Source organism: Homo sapiens, chromosome 1, assembly GCF_000001405.40.
Source record: "Homo sapiens chromosome 1, GRCh38.p14 Primary Assembly".
NCBI classification, from domain to species: Eukaryota; Metazoa; Chordata; class Mammalia; order Primates; family Hominidae; genus Homo; species Homo sapiens.
The window spans coordinates 16,618,256-16,632,044 of record NC_000001.11 but is presented as its reverse complement, the minus strand read 5'-3'; the positions used below and the strand labels follow the sequence as shown (position 1 = coordinate 16,632,044).

The 13,789-nt window shown below is 56.5% G+C and overlaps 1 pseudogene across 19 annotated transcripts in view, besides 5 other annotated features; it reads left to right on the top strand.

Annotated features, from left to right (window-relative positions):
* Window positions 1–13,789, top strand: part of CROCCP2 (CROCC pseudogene 2) — a 27,216-nt pseudogene extending 13,427 nt beyond the window's left edge. For 15 of the 19 annotated variants that reach the window (NR_197614.1, NR_197618.1, NR_197616.1 and 12 more), the window contains 8 exons: window positions 432–515; window positions 936–1,155; window positions 3,395–3,577; window positions 4,756–4,900; window positions 5,546–5,692; window positions 6,040–6,270; window positions 12,021–12,200; window positions 12,942–13,789. The product of NR_197614.1 is annotated as a CROCC pseudogene 2, transcript variant 15 (transcript). Of the gene's footprint in view, window positions 1–431; window positions 516–935; window positions 1,156–3,394; window positions 3,578–4,755; window positions 4,901–5,545; window positions 5,693–6,039; window positions 6,271–8,047; window positions 8,176–11,799; window positions 12,201–12,941 lie in introns of all 19 variants that reach the window. The other 4 variants (NR_197609.1, NR_197604.1, NR_197607.1 and 1 more) reach the window with 4 other exon arrangements.
* Window positions 6,954–7,023: a silencer, noted in NCBI's record as "silent region_334". NCBI's record gives its function as "represses an Ori minimal core promoter by ATAC-STARR-seq in GM12878 lymphoblastoid cells {active_cell/tissue: GM12878}" and the evidence as "EXISTENCE:reporter gene assay evidence [ECO:0000049][PMID:35858748]".
* Window positions 7,704–8,214: an enhancer, noted in NCBI's record as "H3K27ac-H3K4me1 hESC enhancer chr1:16950326-16950836 (GRCh37/hg19 assembly coordinates)". NCBI's record gives its function as "activates a minimal SCP1, AML or CMV promoter by ChIP-STARR-seq in naive and primed H9 embryonic stem cells {active_cell/tissue: H9 hESC(naive and primed)}" and the evidence as "EXISTENCE:reporter gene assay evidence [ECO:0000049][PMID:30033119]".
* Window positions 11,487–12,155: an enhancer, noted in NCBI's record as "H3K27ac-H3K4me1 hESC enhancer chr1:16946385-16947053 (GRCh37/hg19 assembly coordinates)". NCBI's record gives its function as "activates a minimal SCP1, AML or CMV promoter by ChIP-STARR-seq in primed H9 embryonic stem cells {active_cell/tissue: H9 hESC(primed)}" and the evidence as "EXISTENCE:reporter gene assay evidence [ECO:0000049][PMID:30033119]".
* Window positions 12,156–12,823: an enhancer, noted in NCBI's record as "H3K27ac-H3K4me1 hESC enhancer chr1:16945717-16946384 (GRCh37/hg19 assembly coordinates)". NCBI's record gives its function as "activates a minimal SCP1, AML or CMV promoter by ChIP-STARR-seq in primed H9 embryonic stem cells {active_cell/tissue: H9 hESC(primed)}" and the evidence as "EXISTENCE:reporter gene assay evidence [ECO:0000049][PMID:30033119]".
* Window positions 12,824–13,492: an enhancer, noted in NCBI's record as "H3K27ac-H3K4me1 hESC enhancer chr1:16945048-16945716 (GRCh37/hg19 assembly coordinates)". NCBI's record gives its function as "activates a minimal SCP1, AML or CMV promoter by ChIP-STARR-seq in naive H9 embryonic stem cells {active_cell/tissue: H9 hESC(naive)}" and the evidence as "EXISTENCE:reporter gene assay evidence [ECO:0000049][PMID:30033119]".

Sequence of the window (13,789 nt, the reverse complement as noted above, 5' to 3'; positions counted from 1 at the left end):
AGGCCCAAGAGGGGAAATGCTTGTCCAGTCTCAGAGCCAGTAAGCAGGAGAGTTGGGACTTGAACTCCCATCCACGCTCTCCAGGTCCAGATGCTGCCTTTGGAATCCCAACTGTCCACCCCCACCAGTGGGACACTCACTCCCCCAGGGTCCAGCCTGGTTTAGTCACCCCTCTGTGTGGGGCCTGGCCTGGGTTCTAGGTCCAGCTCTCCTGCAATCGACTGTGTGACCTGGGGCAGAACCCAGCTCTTCTCTGGGCCTGGTCTGTTCATTGAGGGCCTCGGGCCTGCTGTGGGGTCTACCAGGTGGCTGGCCTATGGACATGGCTTCAGAGGCCACCTGATCAGTGGTGGGCCAGGGAGGGAGGGAAAGGGGAGGTTTCAGGTAAGACAGAACCCCGACCACTCTTTGTCTCCCTCACCGCACTCCAGGAATCCCTGCGGCTACAGGAGCAGGCGGCCCTGGAGACAGAGGATGGAGAGGGGCTACAGCGGAGCCTAAGGGACCTGGCACAGGTGTGAGCCCAGAAAGGCGGGAAGACAGGGCCCTGCCAGGCGGTCCTGGGCTCCCCCGCCTCGCCTTTCGGTGGCTTCGGATTGAACTGCAGATGGGTGGGGCCCTGGGACCCAGGCTGTAGCTGCTCAGCACCCCTGCTAGCTCACCCGGCCTCTGCCCTGGGGAGCCCCCAGTCTCAGAGGGGAGGCACGGCCCTCTCGGAGCCCACCTGTGAGCAATGCCAAATGATGTCTTCGCAATAAATGGGATGCCTCAGCGGCGAGCTGAGGACTGAGCTAGTGGAGGAGGTGAAATCAGAAGGCTTCTTGTAAGCGGGAGCATTTGGGATGAGGCGGCCCCCAGCCTCCCCTGGTCGTTTTTGCCAGCTAACCCCGAAGTTCCTAACTCTGCGGCCTCCTGCTTCCCTCCCTTACCCTCAGGCCGTCCTGTCTGACGCTGAGAGCGGCAGCCTGCGTCCAACAGCGTCCGACCGCAGCCTGCGGGGGCTCTCGGGCCAGCGGACCCCGTCTCCACCGCGGCGCTCCTCGCCGGGCCGAGGCCGTTCGCCCCGCAGAGGCCCCTCCCCGGCCTGCTCAGAAGACTCCACGCTCGCTTGCCCTGATTCTCTCCGCCCTGCACTTTTGCCAGCTGAAGGTCCAGGTAGGAAGGGGCTTGAGTTTTCTGGGCGCAGCCAGAGGCCCAGGGGGAGGGGCTCGCGCCCTCCAGGTGGGGGTGGGGGCGTGTCTGGGGGAGGAGTCTGAGCGCCCTGGGGTGCAGCCAGAGCCCTGAGAAATAGTGTCTGAGGGTGTCAGGACCCCCAAGGAGGTGGTCGAGGGCTCTGCGCTGAAGCCAGCCCAGAAGTGGGGGTGCTTGGGCAGCTGGGGGTGGGTGCTTGGGCAGCCGGTGGAGGGAGGAGGCTGCGACAGTGTTAGGGTCCTGGTAGAGAGGGAGACAGGTCCCTGGTCATACAGAGCCAGGACCCTGGGAAAAGGTCTAGCAAGGGAAATCACAGCCTAGGATGAGAGCTTGGGAACTAGGGGCAGAGCCAGGGTAGGGAGGAGTGTGAGAGTGGAACCAGGATGCAAGGGGGAGGAGCCTGGGAGCCCTGGGGGTGGGATCAGAACCCAGGAGACGAGTGTGCCTGGGAGTTTGTCTGGCATCCCGGGGGCTTTGATAGGAGTTGTCCGGGACCCCAGGGAGATGAGGGTTCAGAGGGTGGTGAGGGCACATAGGAGGGGAGTGGAAGCCTGGCTCTCAGGCCTAGGCCCCTATCCTGCCCCAGGGCAGGTCCAGGCCCTGGACCCCGCCTAGCGTAGGCTAGTGTGTATCCCTGGAACCAGAAGAGAGTAGGTGGGCTCTGGAGGCCTCAAAGGACCCCCGCTAGACTCTGTGATCCCCACGCCCCAGAACATGCGTGGGCGCTATGAGGCAAGCCAGGACCTGCTGGGCACCCTGCGGAAGCAGCTTAGCGACAGCGAGAGTGAGCGGCGGGCCCTAGAGGAACACCTGCGTGGCGCCGTCGGTCTTGTCCCGCAGGCACTGGCCAACATGGCGAAACCCCATCTCTACTAAAAATTTAAAAAATTGCCCAGGCACAGTGGCTAACGCCTGTAATCCCAGCACTTTGGGAGGCCGAGGCGTGCAGATCACTTGAGGTCAGGAATTTGAGACCAGCCTGGCCAACATGGTGAAACCCCACTTCTAAATAAAAATGCAAAAATTAGCTGGGCGTGGTGATAGGCGCTTGTAATCCCAGCTACTCGGGAGGCTGAGGCAGGAGAATCGCTTGAACTCTGGAGGTGGAGATTGCAGCAAGCTGTGTGGAGTGCAGTGAGATTGTGTCACTGCACTCCAGCCTAGGCAAGAGTGAGACTGTGTGTAAAAACAAAAAAATTGCTGGACGCGGTGGCCCACGCCTGTAATCCCAACACTTTGGGAGGCCGAGGCGGGTGGATCACGAGGTCAGGAGATTGAGACCAACCTGGCTAACACGGTGAAACCCCATCTGTACTAAAAATATAAAAAATTAGCCGGGCATCGTGGCGAGTGCCTGTAGTTCCGGCTACTCGGGAGGCTGAGGCAGGAGAATGGCATGAACTCGGGAGGCAGAGGTTGCAGTGAGCCGAGATGGCACCACTGCACTCCAGCCTGCGTGACAAAGCGAGACTCCGTCTCAAAAAAAAAAAAAAAAATTAGCCAGGCGTGGTGGCGGGCGCCTGTATTCCCAGATACTCGGGAGGCTGAGGCAAGAGAATGGCGTGAACCCAGAAGGCGGAGCTTGCAGTGAGGAGAGATCGTGCCACTGCACTCCAGCCTGGGCAACAGAGCGAGACTCCATCTCAAAAAAAAAAAAAAAAAAAAATCACGTCTTGAAGTTTTTTGCACCTACCACCAGTGGGGAAAGTGGCAGCTCACAGCAAGTCTTTGGGGTCCTAGTTGTTCCCTTCTCCTCCCTCCCCTGCCGTGGCCACCATGTGCCTGTGTAGCAGGAAGCTGTGGGATCTGCAGACTCAGCTCTATCAGGCTTCCCAGAATTGAGGGGCATGGGGTGTTCTAGGGGACATTTCCTGGTCACATGGCCTAGCAGAACTGGTGGCACAATTGCCTGTGTGTCCCAGGAGCCTAGCCTGGCCTCTTCTACGTGGTAGAGTGCTTAGAGATCACGCCAGCACCTCCATCCACTCTAAGTGGGCGGGCTGGGGAGAAGGAAAGCCAGGTTCTTCTGCTGGAGTGTGTGAGTGAAATGAGTCTGCTATGGGCAGGGTCAGGGAAGGCTTCCTGGAGGCAGGTGCCTTGGAAGACGGGAGGATGTAGCTCATGGCTAGAGGAGCAGCCAGCCACCTTCCCTGGAGAGAGCAGCCCCAGCATCCCCTCTGCTCCCGCTCCCCTTGTCCTGAAGGGAGAAGAGCAACCTGGTCCACAGCCTGCAGGTGGCCCAGCAGCAGGCCGAGGAGCTGCCGCAGGAGCGGGAGAAGCTGCAGGTTGCCCAGGAGGAGCTGCAGCGCCAGCGGGACCGGCTGGAGGAAGAGCAGGAAGAGGCGGTGCAGAATGGCGCACGGGTTCGCCGGGAGCTTGAGCGCAGGTTAGCAGCATCTCACCTCCCTGCCAGGACCCTTCAAATGTGCCTCGGGTCCCCTGACAGTGCCCCCATGGGGTTAGGTGACACCCACTGGGTCCTGGGCCTCCTACCGTCTGGACCCCTCTGATGTCGGGTTTTCTAACCAGACCCATTTCAGGAAACTGGGGCTCAGGGAGGTATAGTCACTTACCTGGAGTCAGAGAACTAGTTAAAAGGTAGAACTTGGATGATAATAACAAGAATAATTAAAATAACACTAGTAATATTAGTAGTAGTATTTTAAAAATTTAGTTAGAAGAATAATAATATCCTTACTAATTTCACTAAGTGCCAGATACCATTTTAAGCAATTCAGTTCTCTCATTTAACTCCATGATAACTCTGTGACATAGAAGCTGTTATCTCCATTTTGTGGATGGTAAACTGAGGCACAGAGAAGCCATGTCACTTGCCCCAGGTCACACAGTTAGCAGAAGAGCCAGGATTTGAACCCAGACATTCTGCCTTCAGAGTTAACCTCTTCACCACTGCGCTGCTTACCTCTCAGGGACGTGATCGCTGATGATGTTTAGTAGACTGTGGTGGAGCATGTTATTCTTGTTTCTGAAGGTCCTTGGGGAGATGTGTCAGGCACTATTTTAAGCACATGTGAAGTTTGTATCCTTAAAACAGGCTGGGCACGGTGGCTCACGCCTGTAATCCCAGCACTTTGGGAGGCCGAGGCAGGCGAATCGCCTGAGGTCAGGAGTTCAAGACCAGCCTGACCAACATGGGGAAACCCCGTCTCTACTAAAACTACAAAAATTAGTCAGGTGTGGTGGTGAGCACCTGTAATCCCAGCTACTAGGGAGGCTGAGGCAGGAGAATTGCTTGAACCTGGGAGGCAGAGGTTGCAGTCAGCCAGGATCGCACCACTGTACTCCAGACTGGGCGACAGAGCAAGACTCTGTCTCAAAAAAACAAACAATGTCACGAGGCAAGTGTTACCTCATTTTGCAGATGTGAAAACGGAGGCCCAGGGTCATGGAGCTAAGCGGTAGTGGGCTTGGTTGCCCTGTGGCTCAGGCTGTTTCTCTCCAAACTCGTGCCTCAGGCCTGGTCCCCGGCCCAGCATCTTGCTGGCTACAGGAGGTTCGGGCAGGAAAGTGACATGGGCCACCCACCCACCCTTTGTCCCACAGCCATAGACAACTAGAGCAGCTGGAAGGGAAGCGCTCAGTCCTGGCCAAGGAGCTGGTGGAGGTGAGGGAGGCGCTGAGCCGCGCCACGCTGCAACGGGACATGCTGCAGGCCGAGAAGACCGAGGTGGCCGAGGCGCTGACCAAGGTGGGTCCCTGTCTGCTGCACAACCACAAACCTACCTCTGACCCCCAGCCCCAAGCCTTGTCACTCTGGCACAGACTGGTCCCAGTGTCAGGCAGACCTCTGAGCCTGGTCACAGACTGACCCCTTCCTTCTGGATACAGGCTGATCTTTGTCACAGGCCACAGACCTCTGGACCTCTGGTCCCAGCCATAAGTGGACTGACCTCTCTTTATGGCCGTATCCCTGCTGTTCTGGATGCTCCTGGGGGCAGTGCCTATAGCTCAGGGTCATCCTGAGATTCAGCTCCTGGAGTCTGAGAGTTGTGGCCACAGCGCAGAGGGTCCTTGGCGGGGGGGCCTGCGCTGTCCGCTGCAGCCTGGGCTCTGAGCAGTGCTATCCCTAGACCTTACTCAGGGGATCCTCTGAACTCTGGCCCTGCCCTGCAGCTTGAGCTATTTTTGCACAGCTTTGCGGTGCATGGCTTTTAAATGGCTCCATAAGCAGCAGGCTTTCTGCGGTGATTTTTTTTTCCATCTCACGCCGTATCCCCTCCTTGTCTCCCCTCCCCTGTCTCCGAGGGTCCATCTCTCTGGGTCTCTTCTTGTCTCTCCTCACCTCCTCCCGACCTTTCTGCCCTTCCTCATCTCTTGGGGCCTGACCCTGCAGGGTGAGGCTGGCCGCATGGAGCTCGAGCTCTCCGTGACCAAGCTGAGGGCAGAGGAGGCCTCCCTGCAGGACTCCCTGTCCAAGCTGAGCGCCCTCAACGAGAGCCTTGCTCAGGACAAGTTGGATCTGAACTGCCTTGTCACCCAGGTACACTGTGCACCTGCGGGCCCACCTACCTTGCCCACCCGTCCTCCCCACTCAGTGAGGCACCCTGGGCCCGGCCCTGCACCTGTCTTGGCCCCTGCCTCCCTTTCTGTCTCTGGTTCTCTGTCTATCTCCGTCTGTCTGTCTGTCCTCTCTAGGAGTCAAAGCACCGACGCTCCATGGGCCCTCCTCATCTCCCCCTCCCCAGTGTCCCACACACCCAAGGGCACTGTCCCTCATTCCCTGGGAGCCTCCCCTGGGCTATCGTGGCTGGTGGGTGGGTGGAGGAGGCGTCCTGGTCCTGGGAGGGACGCCCTGCTCATGAGGCCCCACTCCTTTCCGGCCCACAGCTGGAGGAAGAAAAGGCCATGCTGCAGGGCCGGCAGCGGCAGGCGGAGCAGGAGGCCACAGTGGCGCCGGCAGAGCAGGAGTGGCTGGAGGAGCTGTGGTTGGAGCAGGAGGTGGCACGGCAGGGCCTGGAGGGCTCCCTATGAGTGGCGGAGCAGGCCCAGGAGGCGCTGGAGCAACAGCTCCCCACACTGCACCATGAGCTCAGTTGGCTGCAGGAGCAGCTAGCACAGGTAGGCCAAACTGTGTGTGGGGTGGTCTGGAGAGCATGTGGGGCAGGCCAGGCTCGCAGCCTCCTGCATCCAGTCCTGGGTTAAGTCACAGGCACTGGAGCCTGCTTCTGGGTTAAATCCAGTCCCACTTCTCCTAGCTGGGGACCTTGGACAAGCTGCCCAACCTCCCATACCTCAGTTGCCCCATTTATAACATGGGGCTAGCCGGGTGCAGTGGCTCACGCCTATAATCCCAGCAGTTGGGGAAGCCGAGGCGGGTGGATCACCTGAGGTCCGGAGATCAAGACCATCCTGGCTAACACGGTGAAACCCTATCTCTACAAAAAATTAGCTGGGTGTGGTGGCACGCGCCTGTAGTCCCAGCTACTCAGGAGGCTGAGGCAGGAGAATCGCTTGAACCCAGGAGGCAGAGGTTGCAGTGAGCCAAGATCGTGCCACTGCACTGCAGCCTGGGCAACAGAGCAAGACTCCGTCTCAATAATAATAATAATAATGATACAGATTAATAATAGGTGGAGACTTTTTAGAATTGGAATCTTAGACTTTTGGGAACTTCACATCTCGAAGAGACCTTAATGTTTCAGGGATCCAGGGACCTTCATGCAAGGTCCATCCTGGAGGGCCTGGGTTTCTGGGAGGTGCCTCTAGAGGATGGGGTAGGGAGTGCAGGAAGCAGGGTGCAAGTCTCCACCTTGAGGCCTGCTGAGCAGCTGCATTTGGGTCTGGTTTATATATTCAGCTTCTCTGCTTAGAGTAATACAAGGGTTCTGTTACTTCCAAAGCTGAGTGAGGACCCTCATTTTTCTTTTCTTTTTTTTTTTTTTTTTTTTTTTTTTTGACAGTCTTGCTCTGTTGCCCAGGCTGGAGTGCAGTGGCACGATCTGGGCTCACTGCAACCTCTGCCTCCGGGGTTTAAGCTGTTCGCCTGCCTCAGCGTCCCAAGTAGCAGGGACTACAGGCGTGCACCACCATGCCCGGCTAATTTTTGTATTTTTAGTAGAGACAGGGTTTCACCACGTTGGCCAGGCTGGTCTTGAACTCTTGACCTCAAGTGATCCACCTGCCAAAGTGCTGGGATTATAGGCGTGAGCCACCGTGTCCGGCCGGGCCCTGGTTTTTGTACACACGTGCATTGCAGATCTAGAGAAGGTCATGACTTGCCCAAGTACATATAGCACATCAGGGCAGACCCTGGGCTCGAACCCAGGCCTTCTGCCAGGACTGGGTTAGGCCCAGAGTTGGGGTACTGCACGATGAACAAGCTGGGGGATGCTGGGAGTGCTACTCAGTCTCTGGGTGGGAGCCAGCTCTCCTGGCAGCTGAGCAGGCGGGAGCAGGAGCTGGAGCAGGCCCGGTGGGAGGCCCAGTGACAGGTGGAGACGCTGGGGCAAGTGGCCCGGGAGAAGGAGGCGCTAGCCAAGGAGCACGCTGGCCTGGCTGTGCAGCTGGCGGCCTGCGGAGCGTGAAGGCAGGACCGTGTCAGAGGAGGCCACACACCTGCAGTAAGGCCTTGGGCTCTGCCCAACCCGCCCTGGGCGGTCCTCCTGGGGCCACGCCATGAACAGCCTCACCCAGGCACGGGCCCCCAGGGGCAGTTACTAAGGAGTCTGGCTTGCCAACTCGTCCTAGCTGTGGGCTCAGGCTTCCCCAGGGAGTGTGGGCCTGGCCAGGCAGGTAGATTGGCACTTGGCCCATGCCTGGCCACTCCCTGAGATCCACAGTTTCCTGGGGCCAGGGAGGCTGAGTCCCAGGGCCTCACGCACTGTATGTGCTGCAGCTTGGAGAAGGAAGCCCTGGAGGGCAGCCTGTTTGAGGTGCAATGGCAGCTGGCCCAGCTTGAGGCCCGCCGGGAGCAGCTGGAAGCCGAGGGGCAGGCCCTGCTGCTGGCCAAGGAGACCCTGACTGGTACGAGTGGCTGGGGACTTGGGGGGAACACCAGGTTCCAGCCCAGACTGCAACCTCCCAATGTCTGTAGTCTCACAGAAGTTGGGAGCACTGGAGTAGGAGTCTGGCTGGCCTGGGTTCCAGTCCTGTGCCACCACTTAGATCTCACCTTCCCTTGAGCAAGCCCCTTTCCTCTCTGGGCTGCAGATTCCTCAGCTGATGATTGGAGGTGGCAATGCCCACCTTCTAAGCCTGTTGCCAGGATGACATGGGAAAAGCGTGTAAGGCCGTGGCACGGTGCCTGGCTGAGTCAACAGTAACTGCTGTTCATCGGTCATCAGGCCTGTTAGTCTGAGTTCTCTGTGGTTTTCAGATGACTCTCTTGGCCCCAGAATCCGAGCCCCACTTCCCTGCACCGTTCCCCATCGAATCTCTGAACTCAGGGCTTCTTTCTGCTCATCTAACATTAACTAAGCACCTACTTGGGTCATGGAAATTAATTTTCCTGTCCATGTACACCTGAGCCAGACAGAACCAGGAAGGGAAATGCTGGTGGGTTTCCAACCCGGGAGATGGTTTTTAGATGATGGCTATACCATTTCCATTCCCTGTAGTCGTTTCCATTAATGCTGATAGTTAATGCTTGACAGGTATGTTCATGTCAGTCATTAAAGGAGATGCTTTATGTGTAGCTGTGCAGCTGTGGGAAGTTGCTGCTGATCTCCTCTGATCCTCCATTTCATCATCTGTTAAACGGGGATGAGGATAAACTACATAGGCATGTTATGAAGACAAAATGAGGTTATGTCTAAAATACTTAGCTGGGTGCTTGACGCATAGTAAGTGCTGAGTCAGTAATAGGGTTTTTGTTTGTTTGTTTGTTTTTGTTTGTTTGTTTTGAGATGGAGTTTCACTCTTGTTGCCCAGGCTGGAGTGCAATGGCGCGATTTTGGCTCACCTCAACCTCCGCCTCCCAGGTTCAAGCGATTCTCCTGCCTCAGCCTTCCAAGTAGCTGGGATTACAGGCACGCGCCACCATGCCTGGCTAATTTTGTATTTTTAGTAGAGACGGGGTTTCACCATGTTGGTCAAGCTGGTCTCGAACTCTCGACCTCAGGTGATCTGCCCACTTCGGCCTCCCAAAGTGCTGGGATTACAGGCATGAGCCACCGCGCCCAGCCTGTTTGATTTTTTGAGACAGAGTCTCACTCTTGTCGCCCAGGTTGGAGTGCAGTGGTGCGATCTGAGCTCACTGCAACTTCTGCCTCTTGGGTTCAAGCGATTCTCCTGCCTCAGCCTCCCAAGTAGCTAGGACTACATACGTCCGCCACCATGCCCAGCTAATTGTTGTATTTTTAGTAGAGACAGGGTTTCACCGTGTTGGCCAGGCTGGTCTTGAACTCCTTACCTAAGGTGATCCACCTGCCCCAGCTTCCCAAAGTGCTGGGATTACAGGAGTGAGCCATGGCACCTGGCCTAGGGTTGTTATATGTTTGACATCCGTCCCATTTGGGAGGCCTTCTCATCAGTCATTTTATGCCTTTAATGCCATTCTAGGTAGGCAGGAAAGGGGTCAGGGCCAGTGGGCCCATGTAGCAGATAGGGAAACTGAGGCCCAGAGAGGACAAGCCACTTCTTCAAGAGGACCCAAACTGGATGCCAGGCAGGCCCTCTGCCTCTGGGATTTTGCCCATATGGCTCAACTGGCCTAAGTCTGCTGGCCCAAGGAAAAATTTCAACCCAACCCTGCCCTTTCCCCCATTCCTCTCGTGCAGGGGAGTTGGCGGGCCTGCGGCAGCAAATAATAGCTACGCAGGAGAAAGCCAGTCTAGACAAGGAGCTGATGGCCCAGAAGCTGGTGCAGGCTGAGCGGGAGGCCCAGGCCTCTCTGCGGGAGCAGTGGGCAGCCCAGGAGGAGGACTTACAGTGACTCCAGCGTGAAAAGGTTCAGGCAGCTGGGGAGGGGTGGGCAGAAGTCTGAGCCAGTGTTTCATCATCGTTCTTGCTCTGCCTCGGTCTGTACATCTGTGAAATGGGACTCCCTCTCTGTTGTGGAGGCCCTGGGGACAGCTGGGAGGACTGGAGGGGTGGTGGGGAGGTTGTGGTCCTTATTAGACATTCAGATACCCAGGTCCCAAATCTGGTCCAGCCCTGGTAATCCTGATGCAGAGGGTCCACAACCACATTTGGGAAATGTTGACCTAATGCACAGCAGGAAAGCACTTTCATTTGCTAAGAAGTTTCCATATGAAGGGCCACGCAGACCTGAGCATGTAGAAAGGCAAGGGGCCAGGGAAGTTACTAGAACACTGACTCTGGGGTTATATTGCCTGGGTTTGAATCTAATCTTGGTCGCTTACTGGTGATGCTACCCAAGGTGTCTGTGCCTTCATTTCCCCACCTGTAGAAATAGGGATAGGATAGTGGAAGGTATTGAGGATGAGCTGAGACCATCTGCATAGAGGGCTTAACATAGTGACTGGTACTTAGCAAATGCTCCATGAGTTATGATTGCTGGCACTGGCATGCTCTCCAGAGTGGCCCTCAGAACAGGGGCCCTCAGCCACCAAATCCTAGACAGGGCTTCCTCTGACAGAGGTGCAGGCTATGACTACATGGCTCCAGGGCATGCCACTCACCCTGCAGTCCCCATGGCCTTGGGTGGTGGTTATCACGCTTCTCCATCAGGGGGCGGTAAAGCTCTTTCCGAAAGTGCTGGGATTCCAGGCATGAGCTATGGTGAAGCTCTTAAAGAAGGGGTGGCTTGGCCGGGCGTGCTGACTCATGCCTGTAATCCCAGCACTTTGGGAGGCTGAGGTGGGCGGATCACGAGGTCAGGAGATCGAGACCATCCTAGCTAACACAGTGAAACCCTATCTCTCCTAAAATCACAAAAAATTAGCTGGGCATGGTGGCACGCGCCTGTAGTCCCAGATACTTGGGAGGGTAAGGCAGAAGAATCGCTTCAACCTGGGAGGCAGAGGTTGCAGTGAGCCAAAATCACGCCACTGCACTCCAGCCTGGGTGACAGAGCGAGACTCTGTCTAAAAAAAAAAAAAAAAAAGAAGTGGCAGCTCTGTCTGCTTCTCACAGAGTTGCTAGGGACAACTGCTGAGGCAGGCACCTGCCCTCGGGCTCCCCGGGTGGGCTGCTATTTGCCTGTGGGCTCTGCCTGCCCGCCTGTCCAGTCCCCAGGGATCTGAACTGTGACCTCCCCCTTGCTCTTCTTGCCCTTTGCATTGCCTGGCTTGGCCTCATTAATGTCCCCAAATCTGTGTTCTTCTCTCCAGCTCCTCTGGCAACCCCTGACCCCCTTCATTCCTCACAGCCAGTCCTAACTCTCCTCCATCCCAACCCCAATCCCTCTTCCACAGCTGTCGGAACATCCCCTAAGCTAAAAATCAGATTGCTCCTTGTCACCTTGGCTCGAGTCCTCTCTCCCACTCCCCTCACTGTCCTTAGAATCCCCATGGCCCACACGGCCTGTCCTGGCCCAGCCACTGCCTGGGGCTCTGGCCCTGTGACTCACCGTGCCCTGTTTCCCTCTGCACCCTGCATCCTGTAGTCCTTTCCAGGGGCTGTGCTCTTGGCCTGGGGTGGTCTTTTCTCTCCTTACCTGGCTGACAGTTACTTGTCTCTCCGCAGGGGATCATGTTCGGACCCCCAGGCCAGCCCACTGCTGCTCCTTGGCACTTTCACGGCCCTGGCGTGTCCCCGTCATAGCCCTTATCAGTCCCTTGTATTTACCTGGTCACCCTCCATCTCTGAGGGTATGGGGGCCAGATGGCTCTTGCTGCCCTGATGTTTTGGGGGGTCTGCCTGGGCCCCTCCTGGTGTGTCACACGCGTCCAGTCCTGGCCCCCTAGGAGGCAGCATGGCGGGAGCTGGAGGCCGAGCGGGCCCAGCTGCAGAGTCAGCTGCAGCGTGAGCAGGAGGAGCTGCTGGCCCGGCGGAAGGCTGAGAAGGAACAGCTGAGTGAGGAGATTGCTGCCCTGCAGCAGGAGCATGACGAGGGCCTCCTCCTGGCCGAGAGCGAGAAGCAGCAGGTTCGTGAGCCCTGGCGTGGCCTCTGCTGCTCTCTGAGCTGCTCCAGTTCTGGGGCCGGGCCCTGCTCTGCCACTTGGCAGCTAGGAGCCCTGGGGCAGGCCACTGCCCTCTTGGGGGCCTCAGTTTCCTTACCTGCAGGAGGGGAGGATTAGAAGGGGGTTCGTGAGGCTTTGCTGTGCTCCATGCCTGGCACACAGTGAGCACTTACTGAGTGACAGTGACAGTCGTGACACCAGGAAAGCTGTTCCATATTCTCCCATGCCTCGTCCCACCCCACGCTGGGCATGGATCCTCATGGCTGCCTTCTGAGCAGTCCCCACGATGCCCACAGGCATCAGCTGACGTGTCCCCCCAAATAACAAATCCCTAACTTTCCTATAATGTAACGGAGACAGGGCAGACTGTGCCCATCTCCTCTCCTCACCAGCTGTGTACCTGGGCGAGTCACTTTACCTCCTTGAGCCTCAGTTTCCTCATCTGTAAGATGGGTAGAAAGAAAGACTCTGCAGTCAGGGTGCTGTGGCGGGTTAGTGAGCTCTATGAGTGGTATCCACGTCCGGGATTCTTGTGACTGCCGTTGTGCCCTTTTCCAGGGCTGCATGTCTGCCCTGGGTCCACCTGCAGTGGCACACTCAGGCCTCTAAGCCCCCAGTGGGCACATTTCCTAGGCAGCAAGAAGCCTGAGCATGCCCCCAGGACCAGCCCATCCCCCAAGCCCTTTGTCCCCTGCCTCTGCCCAGGCCTTGTCTCTGAAGGAGTCTGAGAAGATGGCGCTGTCAGAGAAGTTGATGGGTACACGGCACAGCCTGGCCACCATCTCCCTGGAGATGGAGCGGCAGAAACCAGATGCCCAGAGCCGGCAGGAGCAGGACCGGGTAGGCCTGCCGTCGTAGGGAGGCTTGCGGAGCAGGAGCGCCCTCTCTCCACCGAGCTATCCCGCGGTTTCCAGCATCCCATCTGGCGGACTCCTCTTCCTCTCTCTTCTCCTACTCTGGGTCTTCTATCCTGGTGTTCCTTGAATGCCTATCTTCCTTTTGTGCCTCGGAACCTCTCACGCCTGCCACAAGTTACTCTTTTCCTTGGTAGTTCTGAACTTTAAATAAGGTAATGCCTGTAAGAATGCCATAAATGCTCAATAATTGTCATCTGTTATTATTTTCATCAGTAACATCATCTGAATCATCAGTATTGTCTGCTTTTAACAGCTGCATTTTTCATTGTCCAAATATAGTCACATACATTTGACCATTTTATAATTATTGAATAATAAATTTGTTCTGCTATTTTACAATGAAAAATAATGCTGCAGAGAGCATTTTTGCACATGTATCGTGGCAGATGTAGGCCAGAGGCTCTTCTTTTATCCATCCTATGGCCAACCTATGAATGTATACACGTTTAATGAGATTTTGCCAGCAATCAAAGCCTTCAGGGAAAATGTCCCTAGCTCTTTACTACATCAGATCAAGGACTCTGGATAATTGGCATAACATCCTGGAATAGCTGAAACAGAGATATTATTCTCTGCTCTCCTCTGTTGTCTTTGTCTTTTCACGTCTTAATAAAAGTGCTGGTGACAAGAGTGTAA